This window comes from Homo sapiens, chromosome 11, assembly GCF_000001405.40.
Source record: "Homo sapiens chromosome 11, GRCh38.p14 Primary Assembly".
Classification (NCBI taxonomy): Eukaryota; Metazoa; Chordata; class Mammalia; order Primates; family Hominidae; genus Homo; species Homo sapiens.
Genome location: NC_000011.10, coordinates 11354751 through 11380312, shown reverse-complemented (window position 1 = coordinate 11380312; position 25562 = coordinate 11354751). Strand labels below are relative to the sequence as shown.

The 25562-nt window shown below is 42.5% G+C and overlaps 1 protein-coding gene across 6 annotated transcripts in view, besides 1 other annotated feature; it reads left to right on the top strand.

The window, feature by feature from the left end:
• Positions 1-25562, top strand: part of GALNT18 (polypeptide N-acetylgalactosaminyltransferase 18) — a 351129-nt gene that overhangs the window by 241693 nt on the left and 83874 nt on the right. For 3 of the 6 annotated variants that reach the window (NM_001363464.2, NM_198516.3, XM_011520071.4), the window contains exons 4-6: positions 1049-1232; positions 2934-3131; positions 7684-7798. In NM_001363464.2, coding sequence (NP_001350393.1) covers positions 1049-1232; positions 2934-3131; positions 7684-7798 — 497 coding nt within the window. Of the gene's footprint in view, positions 1-1048; positions 1233-2933; positions 3132-7683; positions 7799-9000; positions 9707-14869; positions 18305-23924; positions 24413-25562 lie in introns of those variants that run through there. The other 3 variants (XM_011520070.4, XM_006718225.4, XM_011520069.4) reach the window with 3 other exon arrangements.
• Positions 1352-1851: an enhancer, noted in NCBI's record as "H3K4me1 hESC enhancer chr11:11400009-11400508 (GRCh37/hg19 assembly coordinates)". NCBI's record gives its function as "activates a minimal SCP1, AML or CMV promoter by ChIP-STARR-seq in primed H9 embryonic stem cells {active_cell/tissue: H9 hESC(primed)}" and the evidence as "EXISTENCE:reporter gene assay evidence [ECO:0000049][PMID:30033119]".

Genomic DNA, 25562 nt, shown 5'->3' with positions numbered 1-25562 from the left:
ACTTAAGAATGGGCTTCAGTTGTTATGTGGAAAGTGGGACTTGATCTGTCTTCTATGGCTCCAAAATAGGTCCCATTGGACTCATGAATGTAAGATTGAGGGACCCTGGCATTTGGAGGTCAGAAGAAGGAAGAACATCTAATAGTTGAAGAGGCCCTCTAAGGAATGGATTGCATGGATTTCCCTTTTACTGCAGGGGCTGCATGATCACTCATCAGGGCAGACAGAGGGAATTCACACCTTGGGATGGATGCTTGGTTCAAAAGGAACTTTAGAATCCTGTCCAACCAACTGTGAGGGCTGTCATGGGCTCTTGCCTTAGCTGCTATGAAAAAGGTAATGAATGCAGTGGCTGTGCCCTCTCTTGCTGAGGGTTCAGGGGGCTGCTGCTGAGGCCTGTTTCTGTTGCTGCAGGCCCCATTTACAGTTATGAAGAAGCAGAGGCATCAAATGCTTAGCCAGGTCCAGGACCACAGGCAGCAAACCAACACCAGCTACTCACATGGGCACAGCTCCTGGCCATCCACTTCCTGGAAAGATGGAGATCCAGGCAGAGAGCGGATCCTGGGCTGGGGTCTTGGCAGAGGGATCTTCCCCTGGGGGTTATAGGAGCACCGATGGAGATGGAGACCAATAGGAAGGAGGTAGCCGTGCTGATGATGGCTTTTCAGGTCACTAGGCCTGGTTTGAAAGTGGACTGTGCCACTCACAAGCTGCATGATGCTGGAGAACTTGATAAAATCTTTTGAGCTACCATTTTCCTATTGGCTTGTTGTGAAGATTAAATAGACCTTGTTTGTGGTGTATATGACCCTGTGCATTGCTGGACCTCAGAAAATACTGAAAATACAGGAAATATTCCCCTCTATTTTTCCCTTCAAAACTGACCTGTGCTGGCCACTGTGGGGACCACTGAAGAAGACCCAGGGAGGGGAATGGGTCCCCCAGCCTTTCTCTGGGGGTCATCACTAAAAGAGTGACTGTTGTGATTGCCCCCTCTGCCTCCTGACCTCCCTCCCATGCTAAGGCTGCATTTTCTCCCTGACAGAGGAACTGAAGGAGAAGCTGACCGAATATGTGGACAAGGTGAACAGCCAGAAGCCAGGCTTCATCAAAGTCGTGCGTCACAGCAAGCAGGAAGGCCTCATCCGCTCCAGGGTCAGTGGCTGGAGGGCGGCCACTGCCCCTGTGGTGGCACTCTTTGATGCCCACGTGGAGTTCAATGTGGGCTGGTAAGTGCCCCTTGGGAGAGGAGGAGGAGTCCCAGTGGGATCTGGGGCTTCAGCTCCAATAGTGCAAAGCATGCTAGGATCTTGGTCATAGCCTAAGGGAAAAGAGGTAATTCTGGGAATAGGTGAGATGTAGGTGTGTGAGTGAGCCAGGCAACAAGGCTGGACCTTTAGGGTTCGAGGTGTGGTAGAGGGGAGGGGGTAGCCAGGGGTCAACAGGTCAGCACACGGTGCCTAATATGCATGGTGACATCACATGTGACTCTGGCTGGCAGGGTCATCAGGGAGAAGGGTACATGCCAAGGGCAAAGCAGAGAGTGTCCCGCTAAGGACAGGGTTCCCACACCTAGGAAAGGAGAGCTGGGCCAGACGTGAGGCAGAAGCCCAGCCTCACAGCCAGGGCCAACAGCAAGTGGGCAAAGGTGGGGGAAGCTTGCCCCATGTTGTCACAGGTGCCCTGGGCTTTCCCACTGCCAGATTGGAGGTAGCACGTAATCTCAGATTCTCCCTATGGTGAAACTGTCTAAGAACATCTTTCTTTCTCTGGTCAGAGCTGCTCAGATGCTGGGGGGAAAGGGACCAGACAGAAGGCCCAAGTGGCTGCAGCCAGCCAGGAATAGAGTGGCGGATGCAGACCTCCCTGCAGGGCTGGAGGGCACAGGGCCACCTGCTGTGTGTAACTTTGCCTGGGCCTGGGAGACACAGGCTCTGGCAATGACCATAAGTAGCTGGGGCAAGTAGGTGGCCACCCTTTTATCAATATGCCTGTTGTCACTGGGGTCTGCTCTCCTCCCCAGACTCCACAGTGCCAACCTGTGCCCCCGGGGAGTGGGAGACAAGGGCACTTCAGCAGGAAGGAGCAGCAGGGCGTGCACACAGCCTGGCCTGGATGCTGCCATAACAGGCCCAAATGAAGGCTGCAACACAGCCATTTTTTATAGTTGAAGTCCCTGCTTGCCACTTGTGACTATTTAAACAGCATTTTCTTTGGATTTATGGCCAGGATAGGAGAGGGACACTTACTATTTCAAGCTGATTTGAATAAACAATTATGCACCAAATGTATTATTAATGAGAAGCTTATTCCTGCCTGCAAACACTTTACTCGCCTGGTGCCTTCAAGGGTCTCCCAGCTCCCTGGGAAAGCCCAAATGCCCCACCCCTCCTTGGGTGGTTGGGAAACGCTTTGGGGGGTGGATGTGGCACAGCTGGCATTCCAGGGCAACATCGCATGGCTGGTGGATGTAGGTTTGTTCTCAGCTCCTAGTCTCTGCCATCCTCATCTGTCTTTTCCTCCAGGTTGACACATAGAATTTTAGCAAAATCAAAGCCCAAGGTGAAAGCTTTTTCTGGAGCCTCAGATCTGTTTCTTTCTTCTTTTTCTTCTTTTTTGAGTCTTGATTTTTTTTTTTTCTAATGGAGAAAGGGAAAGCGAGCAGGCACAAGGTTGGCTGGAATAAGAATCTCTCAGCTCAGCTCTGGATATGCCAATGGAGTGGTGCAGCCTCTTGCCATTCCGGCAATCCTCAGGGAGCGGGAAGTTGAATAGGAGCTCCTTCCCAGAAGGCAGTGCACCTCTCCATCAGAGGAGATGGGCAGGCCTTCCTTCCTCTTTCTGCTGGGGAAGGACCTTCAGGAGATGCTACTCTGGATTTTTCCACCTTGGAAATGGTTACCCTCTCTGGCTGTCTCCTCTCTGCCCAGGGCTGAACCTGTACTCACCCGCATCAAGGAGAACCGGAAGCGGATCATCTCGCCATCCTTTGATAACATCAAATATGACAACTTTGAGATAGAAGAGTACCCGCTGGCTGCCCAGGGCTTTGACTGGGAGCTGTGGTGCCGCTACCTAAATCCCCCCAAGGCCTGGTGGAAGCTGGAGAACTCCACAGCGCCAATCAGGTAAAGCAAACCTTTACCTGTGGGTCTCTCCGCTTTGACCTCCAGGCTAGGGACCGCCTACTGGTCCAATGCTTATTCTCCAACTTGAGCCCCATCGTGGGGATGACAGGGGTGGGCAGGGTCGAAAGGAACTGCAGTCTGATCTTCAGTCACTGCCACAGGCTCTGAAGATCTCAGAATCCATTCACAGCCTCAAAGTGACCCATTTTCACACATCACTGTGAGACGTCTGCTGGGCGCCAACCACTGTGCTCCAGGTTGGGGATCCGGAGTGATGAAGATTTGGTTCCCACTGCCAAAAGCCTGGAGTCTAGTGAAGACAGACAAAATCATTGGAATAGGAACATTATTCTACCATGCAGGCAGAAACTGCATTGAAAGCGGGGAAATGCTTTTCAGAGGGCAGCATTTTCACTTGTTTTTGAAGGCGAGTAGAAGATGGCTAGGTTGGGGAATGGACACCCATATGCAAAGTTCATGAACACAGAGAAGGTTCAAAGTCACTAGAAGTGGGAAGTGAGCCAGCAGCCCCCGGCAGTAGGGGTGGAGGGGCTGAGAGGCAAGATCGGACCCCACAGGACAGTGTATACCTTGATGATATTTGAGTGTTATTCTGTAAGACTCAGACAAAAGTGACTTCATACTGCATTTCAAAGGTCCCAAGTTCTTTCCTGCCTTTGCTGCCATCTTCCTAGACTCATGAATGACTCCCTTGTGTGGTCTCGGCTTTTAAGGTTCAGGACTCCTCCAAAAGCTGTCCCCACTAGTTTTTATTTCTGTCTGTGTTTGTTTTTGTTTTTGAGACGGAGTCTCACTCTGTCACCCAGGCTGGAGGGCAATGGCGTGATCTCGGCTCAATGAAACCTCTGGCCCCTGGGTTCAAGTGATTCTCCTGCCTCAGCCTCCCAAGTAGGTGGGATAACAGGCACCTGCCACTGCACCTGGCTGATTTTTGTATTTTTTACTAGGGACAGGGTTTCATCATGTTGGCCAGGCTGGTCTTGAACTCCTGACCTCGTGATCTACCCGCCTCGGCCTCCCAAAGTGCTGGGATTACAGGCATGAGCCACTGCGCCTGGCCTATTTCTGTCTATATTGATGATACGGTGGGTGTCTTTATGTTCCCTGCGAAGTCCTGCCCGTTATAAAACAGAAGGCACCAGAAGGTGGCCTAGGGTACAGTTTTTGGAGTGCAAGAGATTAGAAGCTCATGTTGTTTTATATTATATTAGGGAGAAAGGGTATGAAAAATTTAATTGAAAGTCAGGGATTATTACTTAAGATCACATTTTTCCTTGCCAGAAGAAAAAATGTATACTCATACTTAAAACGGGATAAAACCACCTAACTTTCCTGAAGTTACCTGATACCTACTCTGCTCGGCCCCTGCCACAATTTTGTGTTGTTAAACATTTGCTGACAGTCTGCTATGTACAAGGGTCTTTTACACGCATTGGCTCATTTGATCATCATCGCAACCTGTTGACCGCTCATGTCTCATCCCTGTTTTACAAGAGGAGGAGAGCAAGACTGAGAGAGGTGAATGGCCCTGCCAAAGGCTCTGGGCGGTAGAGCCAGGATCCACCCAGAGAAGCTAGACTCAGTGGCTAGTTTTCACCCCTCTTATTGTCCACTGTTGAGCTCAGAACTGGTGTAGCTGTTTTCTGCTCCCAGGCCTGATGAATGCTGTTGGAAGGAAATATGCCCCCATGCAATGAGCATTCCTGCAGAAGACTGCATTGACAGTAACTGTTTCTGTTCTGCTCATCTCTAACTGTACTGGTCCAGTCTCAATCAGCAAGCCTGCATTCCAGGTCCTTGCCAGACAATGTCATCTCAACCTCAAATTTTCTATCACCCAATTTTTATCAAAAACTTGGTTGAGGGAAATAACTTCTATGGAAGATTTTTGGAAGAACATTCCTGGTTTTATTCCCAGATGAAGACAGCTCCACAGAAAGCTGTGATTTATACAAATGTATCTTGCCCATCCGAGCTCCCTTTTCTTTCAAGCTATACTTGAGTGCTTTGCCCACACATGGTGTAAGTCATAAAAAGAGCCCAGCAATATCTTCTGGTGTATTCTAAAGGGATGTCTTTGTGATCGCTGTTCCCTAAGTCGCCAGGTGACCCCATTAAGAAAATCCACGTGAGAAATTTCTTTCAAACTGACTGCCAGTCAAAGAAAGACTTGCTATCCCCAGGGAATCAATTAATATGACATTTTCACATGAGAACTGTACATTTTGTTTCTAAGACCATGTGTGTTCATTTCCACTTTGACCAACAGGAAACTCAAAGGCAAGCTTTCATGTCTGCTTTAAGAACAATTGAGAGAGGACCTTGGTTCTGCACATGCATTCCAATTTGTTGCAATCTTTAGGTCTGTCCAGACATTTATCTATTTATGGTTCTCTATGTATTTTAAATTTTCTCATAAGCTATTTCTAATCCTTTCAGGAATGAGGCAAGGTGTAAATCGATAACTCTTTCATGCTGATAGAATCCACTTAATACCCTAGCCGGTTAATAATAAACCACTGAGGTGGCCTGTGCTCATCTCAGAGTAACTGTTTCAGATTCTGTTCATTACCTGGCTTGAACTGTCAGTTTGAGGAAGGTCCCTTCCTGTGTGTCCTGAAAGCATTTTTCCAGCGTGCCCTGCCCTGTCCAACACTAGGAATGCAGAGGCAAATGCCAAGGCCCCACTCTGCCAGCCTGATGTTTCTGAATCATCACGTATTTAAAGAGAGGATCTTCTAGACTTAGTGCACAATTGCATCTTTTTACCTTTTTAAATGGCCTTTTGAGTGCCAGTTATGTCCCAGAGGCTCTCAAGTGCTTTAATTTAGTCCGTGTGAGGTTAGAATAGATCCTATGTTACAGATATGGAATCGGAGGCTCAGAGAGGCTAGGGAACTTCTCTTAGAGACATGCATCCGGAAGGGGGATTTTTCCCAGAGAGACTACCTCGAAGGCCTGGGTTCAGTTACCTCCACCACAGCAGGGTCTCAGTCTGCTTTAGGAGTGGTGGATTAGCTTCCCAGGATGCCTGCAGGTCTGTGAGGGTGAAGCCATTTAGAATAAAATGCAGTGATTTGAAAGGAAGAGAAACAGTGGCTCCAGGGTGTCAGTCTCTGCCCCAGAAGTCTCCTGTATCTGCATTCCCCAGGGAAATGACCTGCAAAATCGCCTTTCTCCACCTTGATAAGTTTCCATTTTCAAAGATGGGTTCATTTGCATGTGATGGACCGACAGTTTTCTCATCCCTGAGGAGCCTTCATTTCTCCTTTTATTCCCCCACTGCCACCAAGTCCTCCAGCCAGGCAAGGGCTAGAAATGGTAGCAATAAGCAGTAGAACAATTCAACGTCACTGCATAAGCAGGGCTCTCAGCAGAGAAGTAGCCCCGTGCTCTCACGCTAACTCACCTCATGTGAATCATTCTCTGTGAGGTGCTGCACTGGGTGTCTTCACAGAGCTGGTGAGACCCAAGCTCACAGCCCTCAAGGAAGGAAAAGCCTTCCAGCTCCTGGACCCCATAGCTGTTGGCAGGTTGTTCCAGCCTAAGACCCCTGTTGAATTCCAGACCCAGGCCATGTACCTAAGCTCTGCCTGTTGGCTATCTCCTCGTGTGTCACACAGGTACCTTAAGGTCAGTTTTTCCACCACCAATGCTTCTTTCTTTTGAAACCAGCTTCTTCTCCTGTGCCCCTGTATTGATGAGTGGTCTCCAACCCACTGTCACCTGAGCCAGAAAGCCAGATGGCATCCAGATTCCTCTCCCTTTCTCACCCTTGTGTAGTTCATCTATTTTGAAGTTGGGCTGATTTTACATCAAAATATGTCTTTAAAAAATTCCTATCTCTGTTCCTGATACTCTGACTCAGCTCTCCATCATTTTTCACCTGGATACAGCAATGAGCTTCCCAGCTGGGCCCCTCAATTCCCACCCCTTACCCTCTGGTCACTCACCCACAGCTGCCTAACTATTCTTTTGAAAAAAACACAGATCTGCTGACATCACTGTCCTGCTTAAAATTCCTCATGGACACCTATTTACCTGAAGATAAAATTCAAATTTTTTACCCTGCTACCCAAAACCCTTTGCAACCTGGTCCCAGCTAATCTTTCTAAGTAGACCAAGGATGACATACAGATTCCAAGTTGGGGAAGGGTAAGAAAGCTGGTATGCATTCCCAAGCAGGAACAGAGACTGGCTGTGCAGAGGTCAGGGTCAGGGCAGCGGGAGATACAGTCAACCTAGACTGGCAGGCTGAGCACCAATTCTCAAAGCTAACACACACACAAGCACCACCCCACTAATAGCTGATCCCAGGATGGCAGCTGTCTACCCACTGCCCGGATGAAACAGCCTTTCTGGAGTGGTTGGGTGAGGCCAGACCCAGGGGCCACTCCAAGAACAAGGCTCACACTGGCTCTGGCAGCAAAGGAAGGAAGAGAACCAGACCCTCCTGATAGGAAGGCCTTACTGCTCTTACTCCTCGGACAGCTGCACCAGACAGCCCTTCTGCTCTCCCCTGCCCCTGCAGGAGCCCTGCCCTCATTGGCTGCTTCATTGTGGACCGGCAGTACTTCCAGGAGATCGGCCTGCTGGACGAAGGCATGGAAGTCTACGGGGGCGAGAATGTGGAGCTTGGGATCAGGGTGAGTGGGGTTTCTCACTCAAACTGCTCGGCTCAGCTCCCACCAGGGTGAATGAGTCTGGGGGTGGAGAAATGGGGTTTAAGGTTGAGGGTCACAGACTGATTCTGAATGTCCAGTCCTGAATCCTGTGTGTGATTGGGATTGGGAAGACACAGGGTGGAGCCTCTTGACTTTTCAGGAAGAAGAGGACTTCAGAACCAGCTTGGCTGGGGGAGGGAGCATGGGAGAGGTTAAGCTGCCAACTCAAGGGAACAGCCTCTTTTAAAATCAAACTGAGGCCCATCAGAGTGAGCAAAGGTGTGCTCTAGGAAGCAATAACAGGCATCGAGAGTGGCTGGACAAGAGTGACCCTGAGTCAGCTCCCCTTGGGATTTCTCACTTTGACAGTCTCTGTCTTCTCCACAGTGGCCCATAGAACATTCCCAAAGACTTTGTTAAGAGATAGCCCAGAGAAATAAACTCAGGGTGTATAAACAGCAAGATGCAGCCAGGCTCACTGCAGGCTGCTTTCTGATCCCAGGTGCTAGCCAGACCCACAGCCCATTCCTGCCTCACGCCATTCTCCTGCCTCAAAGTACAGAGTTTTTTCCAGCAATCAGCTCATGGCATGGATCCCCAAGAGGCTCTATGTTATTTCTCATCCTACAGGAACAATTCCTAGGCTTTCTGGCTCTTCCCCCTTGGCCGGTGAAAACATAAATCTATGATGAAGCCCTCTTTCTTATCTGAGGTTCCTGTTAGGTCCCCTGGTGTTAGGCAGGAATGTGATGATGGATACAACAAAGGATCTTGTCCTAGAAGGAAGCCTGCCCACCTCTAGGACCAGGGAGTATCCTTGGCAGACCCAGTATTAGAGCTGCAGGATGTCCTCCCCACGATGGCCCCCACTGTCTTCTCCGTGGGGAACCCTCAGCAGCCAGCCACCCCCACACTCTACAGGCTTGCCGATGCTTGGAGAGAACCCTGTGCCTACTGGTGTCCGTAGGGATTATCTGAGATGCTCCACCTCACTGCCAGCCTATTCACACATCCATGCAGACCTCATCTGTCTGGTCCCACCTACTGGCCCTACTCTGGCATCTTTGGCCTTAGTGTCTGCATCTGATGTCTCCAATTCCTGATACTCAATTCCCACTGAAGGATTGCAGCTTGGATGCACCCTCCTCTCACCTCTAACCTCCTTCAATCTCCTACCCCACCAGGCAGGCAACTGGCCCTGGACGGCCCTTGCCCCTGACCTAAAGGGGAGATTGGACACCCACAGTGAGCATCTCACAATGCCTGCAATGACCTGACAGGTACTGTGTGGGGCCCGACTCACCACCCAGACTTAATGCTAGGGCTTTGAGGACTGGCGACATGAGCAGTCTGTCTGAAGCCGAGCTTAGAAAACACTTCCAGACATCTGTATTCATTGAAACCCTGAGAAATTGCTTTGGAAGCAGTCAAAATGCGTGGGCTTATTGGGGAGCTAATGTATTCATAGAGGACAGCCCCTGCATAATCACCCTCGTTTCTGCAGCTCTCTCTACATTGGCCATTTATTCCCCATTTGTATCCTCACCATCTCATTTCAGCACTGCTCCTGGATAAATGCTCACCCCAAACATAATATTTTTCACGAGGAGCTGCTGTCAGGAATTGTCTGAGTGGGTTGGACCGCCTCCATTCGCTTGTGTTCTCTGGGTAAAAATGTGCAGGAATGGAGAAAGGAATTAGATTTGTGAACTCTGCTTCCAGCATGTGTGTGAGTCAGTCACAGAGTGGAGATTTCTGGCTTTTCCTTCCTTAGATTATAAAGTTATAAAGCTATTCTGGAGTGTGGGCCTGGGTGAGGCTCTCAAATGCAAGTTAAAATGTCTCTGGGTGGTTTCGTGTACAGAGTTTGAAATACAGTTGGCAATGATATCTGGTTTTTTTTTTTTTCCTCCATCTCTTCTCTCTCAGTTGACAGAAATGAAGTGTCATTGGAGTTGAAGAAAGGGTGGCATTTAAAACAGAGAACCAACAAGCTGTTAACTTGCAAAACTAAGTACAAATGGGAGGGATGAGTTCATTTGAATTTCAGTTCCCCCTTTAAGGGTTACGGAACCACTGATCGTCAGCAAAACAGATTTTCTCCTTTTGTATGGTTATTAGTATTTGTCTTTCTTTCGTGTTTGATGAGTTAACTTTTCAATGGTTCAGTTTCCTCTATAAAGCAGCACACTTGCCCTAATTACACCATACGATTGTGTATCAACATGAAAGATCACTTTTCACCCTTCTCTTAAGCAGAGGCAGATTATTCAAAGTCCTTACCTATCTGGAACACAGAAAGAAAGTTGTTTGCGCAATTACTAAATGCCTGCTTTGTGCCATGGGTTTTACTGGCACTTATGTCATCCATCCACGAAACACCCTAAAAAGACTATTATTGTAATAGTGGTTTTTTTTTTCCATAAGATACTGTGAAATTAGGGGCTTACATATATCTCAAGGTCATGTACCTCGTAAGAGGTAGAGAAAGGATTCAGCCCCAGATCTTTATGATTCAAGGACTAGACAGATATATCACAGTGATCTAGGGATAAAAGTACTTTGAGCACCGTCTCAAAAAAGATATTGCAACAGCCATGCAGTAATTATCTTCTACTTTATTCACAATTATGTCTACTGAGTCCCTATTTAAAGCCTTCTTCTTATTTCATGCTCTTTTTTTTTTCTGATTTGTAAGTCGGCAACACAATGAGAAAAAGGAAGGAGCTACTATGGCCAAGCACAACGAAATGAGTGAGAAATAAGAGCTGACACTGAATAGAAAACAGAAAGATTATATAAATGATAACTGTGAAAGTGCTAGAATGCATAAGAAAACATTTAAGGGCTGGCAAGGGATTGAAATTGTTGGAGACTATTATGGTTTGAATTGAGTGCCCCCAGCCCCAATATGTCCTAACCTCTTGTGAATGTGATCTCATTTGAAACCAGAGGTCCTTGCAGATGTAATCAAGTTAAGACAAAATTGTGCTGGATTAGGGTGGGCCCTAATCCAACGAGACTGATGTCCTTATAAGAAGAGGAGAATTTGGTCACAGGAAGACGTAAAGGAAAGACAGCCATGAGAAGGTGGAGGTAGAGATTGGAGTTATGATGTCAAAAGCTCAGGAACACCTGGGGCTATCGAAAGCTGGAACAGGCAAAGAAGGATCCTTCCCTAGAGGGTTGGGAGGGAACATAGCCCAGTCAATATGTTGATTTCAGACTTCTGGCCTCCAGAACTGTGAGAGAATAAATTTATGCTGTTTTAGGTGATCCAGATTGTGATACTTTGTTATAAGAGGCCCGGGAAACCTACACAGGGACCAAAAAAGTAAGCCAAAGTTGGAACCTGGAGAAAGGTTGAGGCTATTCTACATGGAGAATCTGGTGACACTTAAGTTTATGTTTTCTCAACTTCATAGAATACAGAGAACAGAAAGCCTAAGGCTTGCCTTACTTCCCATAAAGCTGGGACTCCAAAGGCCTGTTTTCTCAGTATAAAGTAGAAATCCTCTCTGGAGAAAGAGCCTTTTAACCCAGGCCACACAATTCCCACAGGGAGAGTTTTAAGGAATATGAATTCACAGTTTTAAAAACATCACAAAACAGACAAGGGAAAAAGAAAGCAACAAGAGGAAACAGCAGCAAAATCAGCGGACAGGCAAACCTGACCCACAAAGTCTCCAGCTGTTGAATCCATCAGACACGGAATATAAAGTAGGTTATATTATATACTTAGAAAAAGAAGAGATTGAAAATATGAATAAGAAGCAAGACACTATAAAAATAATCAGTCATAGTAGGATAAAAATGGAATTTCAAACATGAAAAATGTAAGAAAGACAAAAGCTCAACAGATGGGCAGAACGGCTACATGAACATTATTAAAGGAATAAAATTAAGAAACTGGAAAATAGATCTAAAGAAATCACTCAAAATCAGCCCAAAGGGCCCAGAAAAAATTGTGAAAAAATGTTGAAAGACATGTAGAATTGAGATTGTGGATTTAGTATCTTATAATTCCAAATGGAGATGATCCTCTTTCTCCAGAGAGGATTTCTATTTTCTGAGAAAACAGTATGGAGGGTTAGGCAAAAAACATATTTAAATAAATGATGGCTTAAAATTTTCCCAAACTGATAAAAGACACCAATCCTCAGATTTAAGAAGTCATGCCATCCAAAGTGAGGTAAATATAAAGATATCCCCATTTAGATATACCATAGAGGAACTACAGAATATCAAAGACAAATAAAAGATCTTACAGCAGTCAAAGAGAAAAGATAGATGACCTAAGTCAATAATAATTAGAATAACAGCTGACTTTTCAACTGTAACAATGGGACCCAGAAGATTATGATATAATGTCTTCAATACACTGAGAGAAAATAATTGTCAACCTATAAGTGTATGCCCAATAAAAACATCCTTCAAAAACTATTTGAACCTAAAGACTACGGAATAGGTTACAGGTGTCCAGCAGCACAGCAGCTTGTATCTCTTTCTTCTAGAGCTAAACATTCAGGCAGATCCTAGGTTTATAGCACAACACAGTATGGCACAGTTGTTAATGATCTTAGTAACAGTCCCAAGTCATAAAAAAAGGCCTCCATTGTATGCTGTATGCTTATTCAATAAGACAAAAAGTACATACATGTATGCAAAGATTTCTATGGAAAATGTAAGACTTGTTAAATTTCTGATACTGAAATAGGCAACTTCTCAGTTGTATGGAACGGACATGGAGAAACTGATTAGAAAGCCTAGCCTATTTATTATGCTTTAAATTCAATTCACTTCTTTAATATGAATCTTGGCTGTCTTCACCTTTCTGGAATGGAAACCAAAGAAGTAGGGGGTGGTGAGGAAGAATGCCACTACAACCACAGCCAGTGCCCCACCGTGGTGTCCAGAGCAGGCAACCAGAGAAAAGACCCCTCTCCTCTCCATCTTGCCCCAACTGTGAATCACTCCTGACTGGATTGAGCTGTTAGAAATGTATTACAGAAAAGAGAGTCTCCCAGAAAGGCCTTGCTGTTGGAAAGACACCCACTTGAACATATCTGCAAGTCACTGACTCCTTCTCTGAATATCTAAGCTTTACCCACTTGGGGTTTCTTACTGGCATTTTAGAATATCTTGGGATATTCGTAATCATTTGCCTCTTTAGAATATGGTCTACTGTTATAATGACACTTACACAGATATCTCATCCTCCAGGATGACCTTTTACTATCTGCTCCTAGGACTGGATGATTGTTGTTATTCTTCATTCCCTAGTGCCAGCTTGCCCCTTTTAACTGCTTCTTCTAAGCCTCATCACAAGATCTGATTGGGAGTAGAATCCCTCGCTGTGAGTGATTCTGTCCCTCTCCCTGTGTAGCTGAGTTACATCTAGGACAGGAGGAAGTGAAGCTGACTGGCTCCACTTTGGACCTTGGGAGCACCAAGGATCATTTAAGGTTTCCTTATCTGGCTAGCCTTAGAGAATAGCTTATTAAAGCAGAAATATGGATCTGAGATTTCTCAGTACCTTGGACAGTGACTTTATTCTAAACTCATTAAATCTTTCTGTTGTCCTAGTCTGCCAGTTTTCATCCCCTCTCCTAGGTTTTTTCCTCAATCATGGAGAACCTAATACCTATACATGCCCTGGCAAAATACCAATAGCTATTCTACAGAGCATGAGGGATGAAAGAAGCAAAGAAGGTGTGGACACAATAGAAGGAGTATACTTCACAAATTACAAAGTCACTAGATATCAAAAATCCCCTTACCCCCTACACTGGCTTTGTCTGCTGCTTCTATATCAGCTAAATAACAATGGCAGTACCTTTCATCTATATTTTCGAATTCTTTCCCTACAATTATCCTATTTATTGCTCACAGCAATCAAATGCTGAAGGCAAGCCAGATAGTATTATCCTAATAGATGTTATATGATTAAAAATGTTTATGTTGGTCAAGGAGTTAATTCATTCTTATGCCTTATTATCTCATTATTCTAATCATTATTTTTAACAGTAAAGATAACAAGAAGAAATTAATTACTTCATACAGTTCTCTATACAAGCATATCATCATATCTATTATACATGTAGATGCATATGTACATAAAAATACTACCACACATTTTATGTAGTGCTTTATTTTTTAAGGCACACATTAATTTATATGTATTATAGTCGTGCTTAACTTTTTATTCAAATGACACTCAGGAACCTGTGTTGCAAGCTAAGAAAACTGACTCAACCTAACTTAAAGAGAAAAGAAATTTATTGGAAGGACATGGGTATCTCAAAGAATTAATTTGCTTTTCAAAGAAGCTGATTCAGAAAACAAGCAAAAGCCAAGAGAGGCTAAACAGCAGAAACTACAGCCAGAGCCACATGGTCATAATAGCGTATTTGGGACAATACCTCTGACCCTACTGCCATGACTAGATGGTCCTACCACTGGGTACTGGGCACTGTTGCTTGGGTTTCGGTGACATTCACAAAGATTGGAAGTCCTGAGTGACAGCACACAATTAGCTAAATCTAGGTTTATGTACATACCTTTGCTTCGAGGGGACAGTGACAGATCATATAGCTCTTTTCAGTTTCTACAGTTCCAAGAATTACACATGACAGAGTTCCTCTTATGGGAAATGGAGTTTGAACCTGGGTTTGTCTGTCCTCTAAAACAAGTAATATACTATATAGGTATTGTTCTTCATATTCCAGATACTTTATCATAAATGAGACTTGAAAAAACTCTCTATTGAAATGCAAATCAAAACCACAATGAGATACCATCTCACACCAGTCAGAATGGTGATTATTAAAAAGTCAGGAAACAATAGATGCTTGTGAGGCTGTGGAGAAATAGGAATGCTTATACACTGGGAATGTAAATTAGTTCAACCATTGTGGAAGACAGTATGGTGATTCCTTGAGGGTTTACAACCAGAAACACCATTTGATCCAGCAACCCCATTACTGAGCATATACCCAAAGGAATATAAATCTTTCTACTATAAAGACTCATGTACATGTATGTTTATTGCAGCACTATTTACAATAACAAAGACATGGAACCAACCCAAATGCCTGTCAATGATAGCCTGGATAAAGAAAATGTGGTACATATACACCATGGAATACTATGCAGCCATAAAAAGGAATGAGAACCCGTCCTTTGTGGGGACATGGATGAAGCTGGAAGCCATCATCCTCAGCAAACTAACACAGGAACAGAAAACCAAACACCACATGTTCTCACCCATAAGTGGAAGTTGAACACTGAGAACACATGGACACAGAGAAGGGAACAACACACATGAAGGCCTGTAGGGGGTTGGGGGTTGAGGGAAGGGAACTTAAAGGATGGGTCCATAGGTGCAGCAAACCACCATGGCACATGTATACCTATGGAACAAACCTGCATGTTCTGCACTCGTATCCCATTTTTAGAAGAAATAATGAAAAAAAAATTAAGGAAAAAAGAGAAAAAACTCTTTATTATGGACAATATCGAATATATACAAAAACAGTGAGATAGTAAAATAAATCCCGTTGCAGTTGTTACCTTGTTTCAGTATTGTCAACTTATGGCCAATTTGGTTTCATCTTTACCTCTGCCTAATCCCCCACCTAACTCTAGTTATTTTGAGGGAAATCCCAGACATCATATCATTTCATCAAAAATATTTCAGTATGTATCCAAAATAGATAAGGACTTTTAAAGAACCATGGCCACAATGCTATTTTCAGTCCTAAAAGAGTTGAAAAGAATACTGTAATACTGTCAAATATTCTAGTATACACATTTTTCTAATTCTCTCATAAGTTTTTGTTTTGATATACAATTTCTTTGCTTGAATCAAGATTCAGTTGGTTAATTTGTCTTTCCAGTCTCCATAATCTACTGAATATCTTTCTCCATCTCTTTTTCCCCCCCTCTTGTAATTTCGTTTTTGAAGAGATCAGGTCATTTTTCCTGCAGAGATTCTCACAGTCTAGATTTTCTTGATTACATTCCCCTGATGTCATTTAACAGGTCCTTCTGTCCCATACATTTCATCTAAATTGGTAGTTAAATCTAGAGACTTAGGCTTAATTTTGTAGCAAGAATATTTCATAGACAGTATGTGTGTTCCTCCATCATGAGGTACACGATGTCTACTTGTGTTCCCATTTGTGATGCTAACCATCATTGCTGATTATTGCCTAGATTCAGTAATTCCTTAGGGGTTACCAAATAGTAATATTTTAATTTTATTTCTCTTTCCTCATTTATTAACTGAAATACTTCTTGTAGAGACATTTACAATAATCCATTCCTTGGTTGCCCAGAAGTACAAATAAATTCATTTGGAAAAGTCAGGATAAATAGTTCTTTCTATAATAGCTTTCAAAATAATGAATTGATTCTCAACCACCCTCCAAAGGGGACCAATTAGTTTTTTACTATCCCTGTGAACTTATGGGTTTAAACATATTTGATGTATTTCAATTAATTATCCTTACATACATTTAATATCCTTATTGACTTGTAAATTTTCCACCTTTGTCCATTGGGAGCCTGTTGACATTTGTCCATGGGTCCTTTTGACTCTTTAATGGCTTCCCTGCCATGAGGAGGGTTCCAGGCTCATCTTACACATTTCCTGCTCCAGACTTGTAATTAGCTACTTCCCTAAGGAACCCAGCTTACTGTGAGTGAGAAATGGTATTTAAAACCACAATCTGGGCACTGGGCATGCTCATTGCTACTGGGTTGGTCCATGTTTCTAGGTCTTTTCAGTAGTCAGAGCTAGAAATTATTATTGTTATTATTATTATAGAGCTAAAATATTTCAGGCATTCATGATGATCTTTCTCATTCAAACTTAGGACAACAGAATTTTACTTCATCAATTTTACATCCATATTTCCTTTCTTTCATGACAAAATTTCTGGTTCTTAATGACAACAACATAGGTACCTGTTTATTTTATTCCCCAGAATGCTCAAGACTGTTTCAGCATATTAATGACAATGCTACCACCAATGATATGATAAATGGTTTAATTTATTTTGCATTTCTTCTTTAGATTTTATCCCACTAGGATGTACAGTCAAATTCCTATTATCCACACTTATCTAGAAGTGTTCCTCTCTGTACGGTTGTCCTACCAACCTAAGAAGTATGATCAGTTGTTTCATTTTGCTTCTGACTTTTATATTTAAATGTTTATAGTCATATAAATTTTTATTTAGTTTATAAAAATGAGGTAAATATACAGTCCAAAGTCAAATCTACAAAATAAGGAACTTTCAGCGTTGTTCTCTTCATCCTGTTTTCTATTTCCAATGTAAACATTTATTTTTGTTTGTTTTACTTAATACTTTGAAAAAAGGCAAGAAAATGTGAATATATATTCGCAGGTCCCCTTTCTTAGATAAATGGTAGTATACTATGCACATTTTTATTATCTCACTTTTTTCTGAAGATTGTTCTATAACAGTATATAGAGATATTCCTCATTCCTTTCTTACGGTTGCATACTACTCAAATGCGTAAACATTTTATAGTTTGTTCTACCAATTTCCTTTTGAGAGCATAGTGCTATAATTAATAGTCTTTTGCATACTTTTTTCATATTTTTATTGGTTATCTTTTGGATAGATTCCTAGAAATGGAATTGCGAAGTCAAAGGGTAAATGCATACGTAACTTTGCTAGACATCATCAAATATCCCTCCAGAGGGGTAGTATTTCAGAGGGGTAATATTTTTCCCACCAGGAATGATGAAGGTGCCTGTCTTCTCACAGCCATACCAACAAAGTATGTTGTGGAATATTTTTTTTAACCAATCTGACCGATGAGAAAGGCCTTTCAGGGTAGTTTTAATTTGCATTTCTCTTATTAAGAACTAGGTTGAAGAGATTTTCATATGATTAAGGCTATTTGCATTTCTTTTTTCTGTAAGCTGTTCGTATCTTTGGCCCACTTTCCTATAGGGTTGTTAGTCTTCTCTCTATTTTTAGAATATCTTTACACATTAGAGATGGTAATACTTTGCCCATCATACAAATTGCAAGTATTTTCTCCCAGTTTATTACTTGTCTTGATTTTACTTCTCGTGTTTGTTTGTTTGTTTGTTTTGCCATCCAAAGGCTGCTTTTTTCGTGTTTTTTCTGTTTAATGTAAGCAAACTTTTTTTCTTCTTGCTTCCAGATTTTAATCATAGAAAATCTTACCCACTCTCAGGTTATAAAGAAATTCACTTATGTTTTCTTCTAATACTTACATGACTATATTTTTTACATTTTAGTCTCCGATTCATTCAGAATTGATCCTGCAGTTTGGTGTGAGGAATGGATCCAATGTCTTATTTTTCTATATGGTCAACCAGTTATCGTAACACCTTCTATTCAAAATAATATCTTTCCTCACTGTTTTGCAAAACTACCTTTATTGTACAATAAATTGCCACATACTTTTGGGTCTGTTTCTGGATTTTCTATTTTGGTTTCATTGATCTGTTGGTCTATTTATGTACTAATATCACACAATTTCATTTTTATAGGCTTTATGTTTGTAAGTCCACAGGGTGAATTTAGCCTAGCAAACTAATGCATAAAGGTCTTGGATTCAAAGGAGGGGAAGATCTAGGCAAGACACAAGTATCATCTTTCCCTCTTCTTTCGTGCTGGACTTTAAAACACGTGATGTCAGGATTTATGGCTGTTTAATTTTCATAATGTGCTTGGAGCCTAGTATGTGCTGAAAGAGCAGGCTTTGAATTTACAGACCAGTCACATATAAGAAAATATATTCTGTATGCCTCAGAAAGTCAGAGCTATAAACAGTGAGTATAAGCTGTAAGAGATGTAGTTACTCAATATCAGAAACATAAATTAGAACCATAAAAAAGATGCTAATGATACAGTGAGCTCCCTGTGTTAGGACATCTTCAAATATCACTAGAAAGATAGATAGAAAGATAGATAAACTTTATGACTGTAATACTAATGATTAATAGTAATATGACAGGTATTATATGTGAGATACTGTCCTAAGTGCTTTACATGTATTAATTCACTTAATCCTTGCAGTACCTTGAAATGTAGGTACTACTACTATCTCCACTTACAGATGGATATACTGAAGCACAGAGAGAGGTGATATAACTTGCTCAAGGTTACATGACTGGTAAGTGGTAAAGATGCGATTTGAACCCAAGAAAGGTGGCTTCAGAAGCCATTTATGCCTGGTCTAAGAAGGCATAGCGTTGTGGTCTTCAGTAAGAAATCTGACAAAATTTCTCATCACTTCCAGGTGGGTTCATTATTTATTCATTCATTCATCCTTCAAACATTCACTTTCCCCCTGCTGGGAAATTGGAGATGAATGACAGCCCCTGCCTTTGAGTGGCTCTCAGCCTAGCTGGAGAGACAACCACCTTACCATGTTCTGAGTACTCATCTCAGATTGTAGAAAAAGTCATGAGCTTAAACAGAATGTTTGACCCCTCCCTCCATTTTGACTTTGAGGACTTTCTGTGTTCTTTGATCTACCAATGGCAACAGTAACAAGTACACAACTCAACCTGCTACACCTTTTATGTGGTATTTTTTTAGAAATTGTTATTTACAAATCAAAAAATGCAAACAATTACTTTTTTTTCTCCAATCAATGAGTAATGGTAAAGACAATCAACTCAAGCTAAAGCAACAAATAAAAATGAGCATAGCAAAAACTATAAAAGCTAAAAAGTTTCCTGAAGAAATGAATATTAACATGATTTACATTTGCAAAATTTGATTCAGGAAAACTAAACTTGGTGGAAATCATTACCACCAAGAAAAACCCTGTGATGGAGGCCATAATTATAAAATGTGTTATGGATAAAAGCATACTGATAGAAGAACCCTATCTTAGTTGTAAAATCAATGCAAAAAAGTGTTAACCCCAGTGAAAATAATTCTGCTAAAATAAAACTAGAAAATTAGTATAGACGGAAATATTTTAATTTGGTCTATAGAAAATCGATGAAGAGAATCAAATTGGCTTAGTGACATTTACTCAAAAAAGAGTTTCTGAGTGAAAATTCATCACTGAGCATAATTCAGGTTAATGTGCTAAACGGCACAACCTGCTCAGGGTCAAAACGCAAGGCTGAAAGATCCTGATGCATTGCGAGAGCAGCAGAAGGGAGCAACCACTCCACCTGCGGAAGTTAGGTGGGGCTTCACACAGGAGGTGCCGTTGAGGCAGACTCCTGAGGAAGGAGTGAGCATCCTGAAGATGGGGATTTGACCTGTCAACATTGACCTGTCAAGGTCTGGGACGTCTGAGATTTGGTGTAATGATGTACACTCTTGGGCAACAGAAGCAGGTGCTTTATTCCATAAAGCAGACCCATTGTTGTACGGTGGAGTAAGTGTTTATGTGGTCTTAATATATATGTTTATCTAGGTGGTCTTCTGAGGCCAAGAATTTCATCCAAAAGGAACTTCCATTTATTGTATGCTATTTGGCAATCACTTGTGTGTATTATTAATTGTTGTACGATCCCTGTGAGGTCCATGCTGTTATCCCCATTTTGTAAATTAGAAACCTGGAGGAAATTAGAATAAATAACTCCCTCCTTACCCAGGACCACTCAAGATTAGAACCAGCCTGACTGGTTTTAAAATGAATGCCTTAATCACTAGGTTGTGTTGTTTTTCCATCTCTACCTTCGGGGTTTAAAATCACTGATGGATAAAGGTTAATTTCAAGGGTTAACTCCAGCCAGCATTGCTTTGGAAAATGACCACCGTACCATTTCAGTGCTCAGTGATTCAGCCACATCTCTCAGGAGTGCTGGGGCCTAAATCAGATGATACTACACAATGTCCTCACTGGACATGGCAGGAGACTTCAGAACTGGAGGGGTAACAGTGGAGGGCTGAGCCAGAGTCCACAGAGTCAGGAAGGAGACAGATGGGGGATTACTAAATGAGAGGAGCCAGAAAAGAGAGGAAGTCAGAAATCTGGGCTCAGGGGAGCAGAGACAAAGAGGAGGAAGAGAAAGCAAGGAAGGGTCCCTAGCAATTGCCTAGAACAGGCATCACTGCTATTTGAGACTTTAAAAAATATGTATCCACGGTTAAAGGGCTGGAAACTTTGCTAAAATTACCAGTGAAGGCAGTCCAGGCAGGTTAATGTGTACAGGTTAATGTGTGTTATTGAAGCACATGATAGACTGGGTATGTGGTTCTCCCCAAAGGCCTTGGACCTAGAGGTCTGAGTAATCTCAGCTCACTGTTAGTATCATGGCCGTTCTCAGCTAGCCATAAGGAAATTAATTAAAAACATTGGACACCACAGTTTTGGGTAAAGCAACCTCGTCTTTGCCCACACAGTTAGAGAGATGTGAGGAGAAGGGGGTCTGGGGACCAGCATTTTTCCTCTGCTGAAAAGGTCTCAGAAAACCACCAGATGCAACATCTCACAGAAAAGCTGCAAGCAGATTCTTTTATTTCCCATCCCTGGACACAGAGAAAATTAAACACCTTAAATTGGATTGTAGTTTCTAGTTGCTTCTAAATGTTATGGTTGGCTCAAGCCAGCTGGAGTTCAGAATAACCCGAGAGCTTGGGATAACATGTCTGTGCGTGTGTGTGTGTGTGTGTGTGTGTGTGTGTGTGTGTTTTGTGTGGATTGGGGCTGTTAGCTTTGCCACTGTTTTGTATCATTGTGTCATGAATTGGAATCCCTTTAGCATTATCCTTCAGCTGCTGTGGTGGGGTAACACCTAGAGAAGGCTGACAGTTGTATGGTGGTGTAAGTGTTTTTCTATGTGGTCTTCTGAGACCAAGAATTTCAAAAGACACCAAACAGATTTCAAGCTTGCAGGCCTTTGTGCTTCCAAAGGGAATTTTCCCAATGACCCAAAGCCTTAGCTGAGTCATTGTCCATCTGTTCCCTTAGAATTGTTTTGGATTTTAATAATTTCAATGATTATTAGAAGTCAAGACTTAGTCTTTCCTAGTTCTTATAAATGAGTTATTAAATGTCCAACAAAGATGGCATTGATATTTCAAACTCAGATGATGGAAGGTTTCAGGGTGCCATTGGCTAGAGAAGAATTTGAGATAGTTTGAGGGGGAAAATGTGGCAAGTTTGGCATTAGAAATAACAGTGGAAATAACCAAAAAGCTTGCATTATTCATCTGTCTATTCATTCATACAGTGAAGATGTATTATATTCCTTGTAACATGTAGTTGGTGTTAAGATAGAGAGAAATATAATACCTGGATTCAACAGAAAGCCAAAACTATAAAACTAAGGTAAAAAGAAAGAAAAAACTTTGAGGTAAGACAATGGGATCAGGTGCCCTCTATGTGACCATTTCTGAAAACAGAAGAGATTTTAAAATTGGACATGGGCATAGGAGATGGAGGCAGGGACAGTGTGATCCCACAGTCTCAGAGAAGAATCAGCCAGAAAGATAGGAGCTGTATTGGTGGAAAATCACAGATGTTAGGGAAAGGCAGCATTTCAGAACTCAAACAGGCAGGCAAACATGAATACTAATGATAATAGCTACCATTTGTTGAACATTTATTTTGTATTTAGTGCATTTATTCAATAAATATTTATAAAGCACCTACCATTCTAGATGCTGGGCCAAGCACTGGATATGCAGTGATGAATGAGATAACTTAGGTTTGCCCTCATAGAACTTATATTCTAGTGAGTTTTATGCTGTATGTCATTTACCCCTCCCAAGAATCACAGGAAACCAGAATTACTGTCACCGGTTTACAGATGAGGCCACTGAGGCTCAGAGAAGTTAAGGAACTTGCCCTGGTCCCAAGAGAAAAAGTGGAGGAGCCTGGATTTAAACACAGTTCTGTCCAAAGCCTGTGAACCAACAGCCTGTGCTCTGAGAAAGCAAGTGGAGAAAAGGCATTAGACACAGCCATAAGAAGGCTTTGGGGGGAATAGTTGGAGTCAAGGGGAAGTGATAGAAGACAGATTTCAAAGGTCTAAGGAGGGAGTGGGTGGAGATTGATGGAAGGCGGAGAGTTTAGAGATTGTATTTGACCAGAAAGGGAGGCAGAGGGACTCCTTGGAGATTGTATTTGACCAGAAAGGGAGGCAGAGGGACTCCTTGAAGACTGGGAATCTAGTGCCTGCTTGCAGGCAGAGGGCAAGTGCCTGAGCCTTGAGAAAGTACAGACTTGACCTTGAGAGAGTAGTTGAAATTTTGTTGCCTTCTAGGTGGTCAGCTGTAGACAGACCTTCTCCTGGGAACTGTAGGGCCTGAAATTCCCAAGGTCTTTGAGGTCGGAGCAACCTGAGGCCTCTGAGGCCAAAGCATCTGCGATTTGAGGGTGTTCCCTAGCTGGTGATTTCCATATACAAGGACATTTCGGTACCCCAAGCAGCCAGTCTAGAACCAATTGGTCTGCCCCATACCCAGCGGCTCCAGGAAGGCATCTGAAAACATGGAGCAGGAAGCTCCGTGGCTATTGCGTGTTATCCCCTAGCACACCAGCCAGCCGTGGAGTGACTCTTTGCAATTACAAACCAGCAGCTGAGTAGACGCAGTTTAAAAGTACGTTGTAAAAGTTTTATGGTTAGTGAAGATAAGTGCAAAATTAATCCCTACAGAACAAAGCAATTTAAAAAGTACATAATGAAGTGATTAGCTAGAAATGGTGGGGAGCAGAAGGAGAGTGCCCAAGAACAATTTTACTCAGGAATGGTCTTCACACTTTGGTTTTTTCAATTGCATTCAATGAGGGAGCTGTATAAAAGAGAGATTAATAACATGCACAAACGAGGTAACAATTGATGAAGGATTTGGGGAGTCAACCTGAAGGAAATTTTTACCTTCTTAAAAAGTTTGGATGAAGGGGAAAAATAGCTATAAAGGCTTTGATTGGGACAATTGGTGAACTTTGATTATAGACTGGGGATTTGATAATAGTCATGTATCAATGTTTAATTTCCTGAATTTTGGAAAAAAGCAAAAACAAAAGCCAAAGAAACCTGGAAGCTCACAATGTATGTTAAAGCTCCCCAGAGTCATTTTCTGTCTCCCTTTTGTTTCCATTTTTGTTCTTTGTTCTTCTTTAGCTGAGTCTGCATGCTGGTCGGTATCAGACCCTGGAAGGTAGCTTCTTGGCCACCATTACATTGTTATTCTAGTTTTCCTGGAAGAGACCACCAAGCAAGGCCAGAATCATTTCCTCAGAAGAACTGCCACAAACTGAGCAAGGGTTCCTTCTCCTCCTCCTCTGACACTGCTGTGGTTTTCCTTGGACAAGATCCGATATTCATAAATCTGAAGTTGCAGAAGGAGGGGTCAGGGGCATCTCCAAATACAAATGTTCTTGGCTTTGTAAAGCAATGCAAAGGGCAGGGTACCTGTGAGCACATTTTTTTCTAGTGCTGTAGGTGCTGGTATCCAGAAATTACCCTTACACACAAGTTTTTCTATAAAGTTTGGTATCCAGAAATTACCCCTGCACACAAGTTTTTCTATAAAACAAAGCCTACCTGTATACAAAGTCAGTCCTGAAAATAAAGAGTTAACCCCTGGTGTAAATGGCCCAGGAACACCATTCACTCCTTTAGGTCTTGCCTCTCTCTCTTTCTGTCTGTCTAGTTTGGGAAAGTTCAAGAGACAGGGCTCTGGTCTCTGGAGCACTGAATGGTGGGGTGCTCTGTTTTATTCCTCAGGCCTGCTTCAAATGCTGCACATCAGGAGGTGAGGGTCTTGATGACTTGCTTAATTTTCACCACACTAGGATTGTAGTAATATAGAGAAATCATGGACTAGGGGAGGGAAAAGATTAGTAAGACCATGATTTTAAGACAGATACTTATTTGGGATTTCAGTGTTTCTAAAATCAGGTTGGACCTTATACATTTGGCATATATAAATAAATAATAAATATGTAAATAAATTTTAATTTACTGTCCAAACTAGAAGCTTTTGCGAGTGAAAGGGGGTGCTACTAATAACAGTGGAACACTAGGTATAAACCAGAATAGTCCCCAGCAAACCAGAACATATGGTCATTCTACTGAGAATTTTTTGTGCATGTTTAATCACCTCCTTAAATGCCCCATCTCCAATATAGTCACATGGGGAGTTACAGCCTCAGCATATGAATTTGAGGAAGGGGGAGACAATTCAGTCCATAGGGAGTGCTGTAACAGAAAAAACACAGTGTAAGTATCAGAAAGTCAGGGATTTTTTATATTTTGTTCTGTGGTAAGATTCCCATCTCCTACAACAAAGACTGGCACATAGTAAGTGCTCAGTAAATAATTGCTGAACTGCATTAAAGCAGAGGAGGGACATGCTCTGATGTATAATTTTAAAAAGTGGATTGGAGGGCAATACGGATTGAAGGGCAACACGACAACGCAGAAAGACCAGGGAAGAGGCTCTGGATGGAGATGCCCACACAAAAATAATAGGGACTTGGACCAGGATGTTGGCTGTGCAGATGGAGAGAAGTGATTAAATTCAAGCTATATTTAGGAGGTAGAACTGTCTGCTTTTGCCGATGTATTGGATGTGGAGAGGGAGGAAGAAGACATTGCTACAGATGAATTACAGGTTACAGGCTTCGGCTATTAGATGGATGAGGGGCAGACTAAGGGACAGATGGGGAGGCAGGGAAGAAAATCGGGAACTTCGTTTTGGACATGGTAAGGTTGAGATGCCTGAGACACATGAGAGTGAAGGTGAGACGTAGGCAC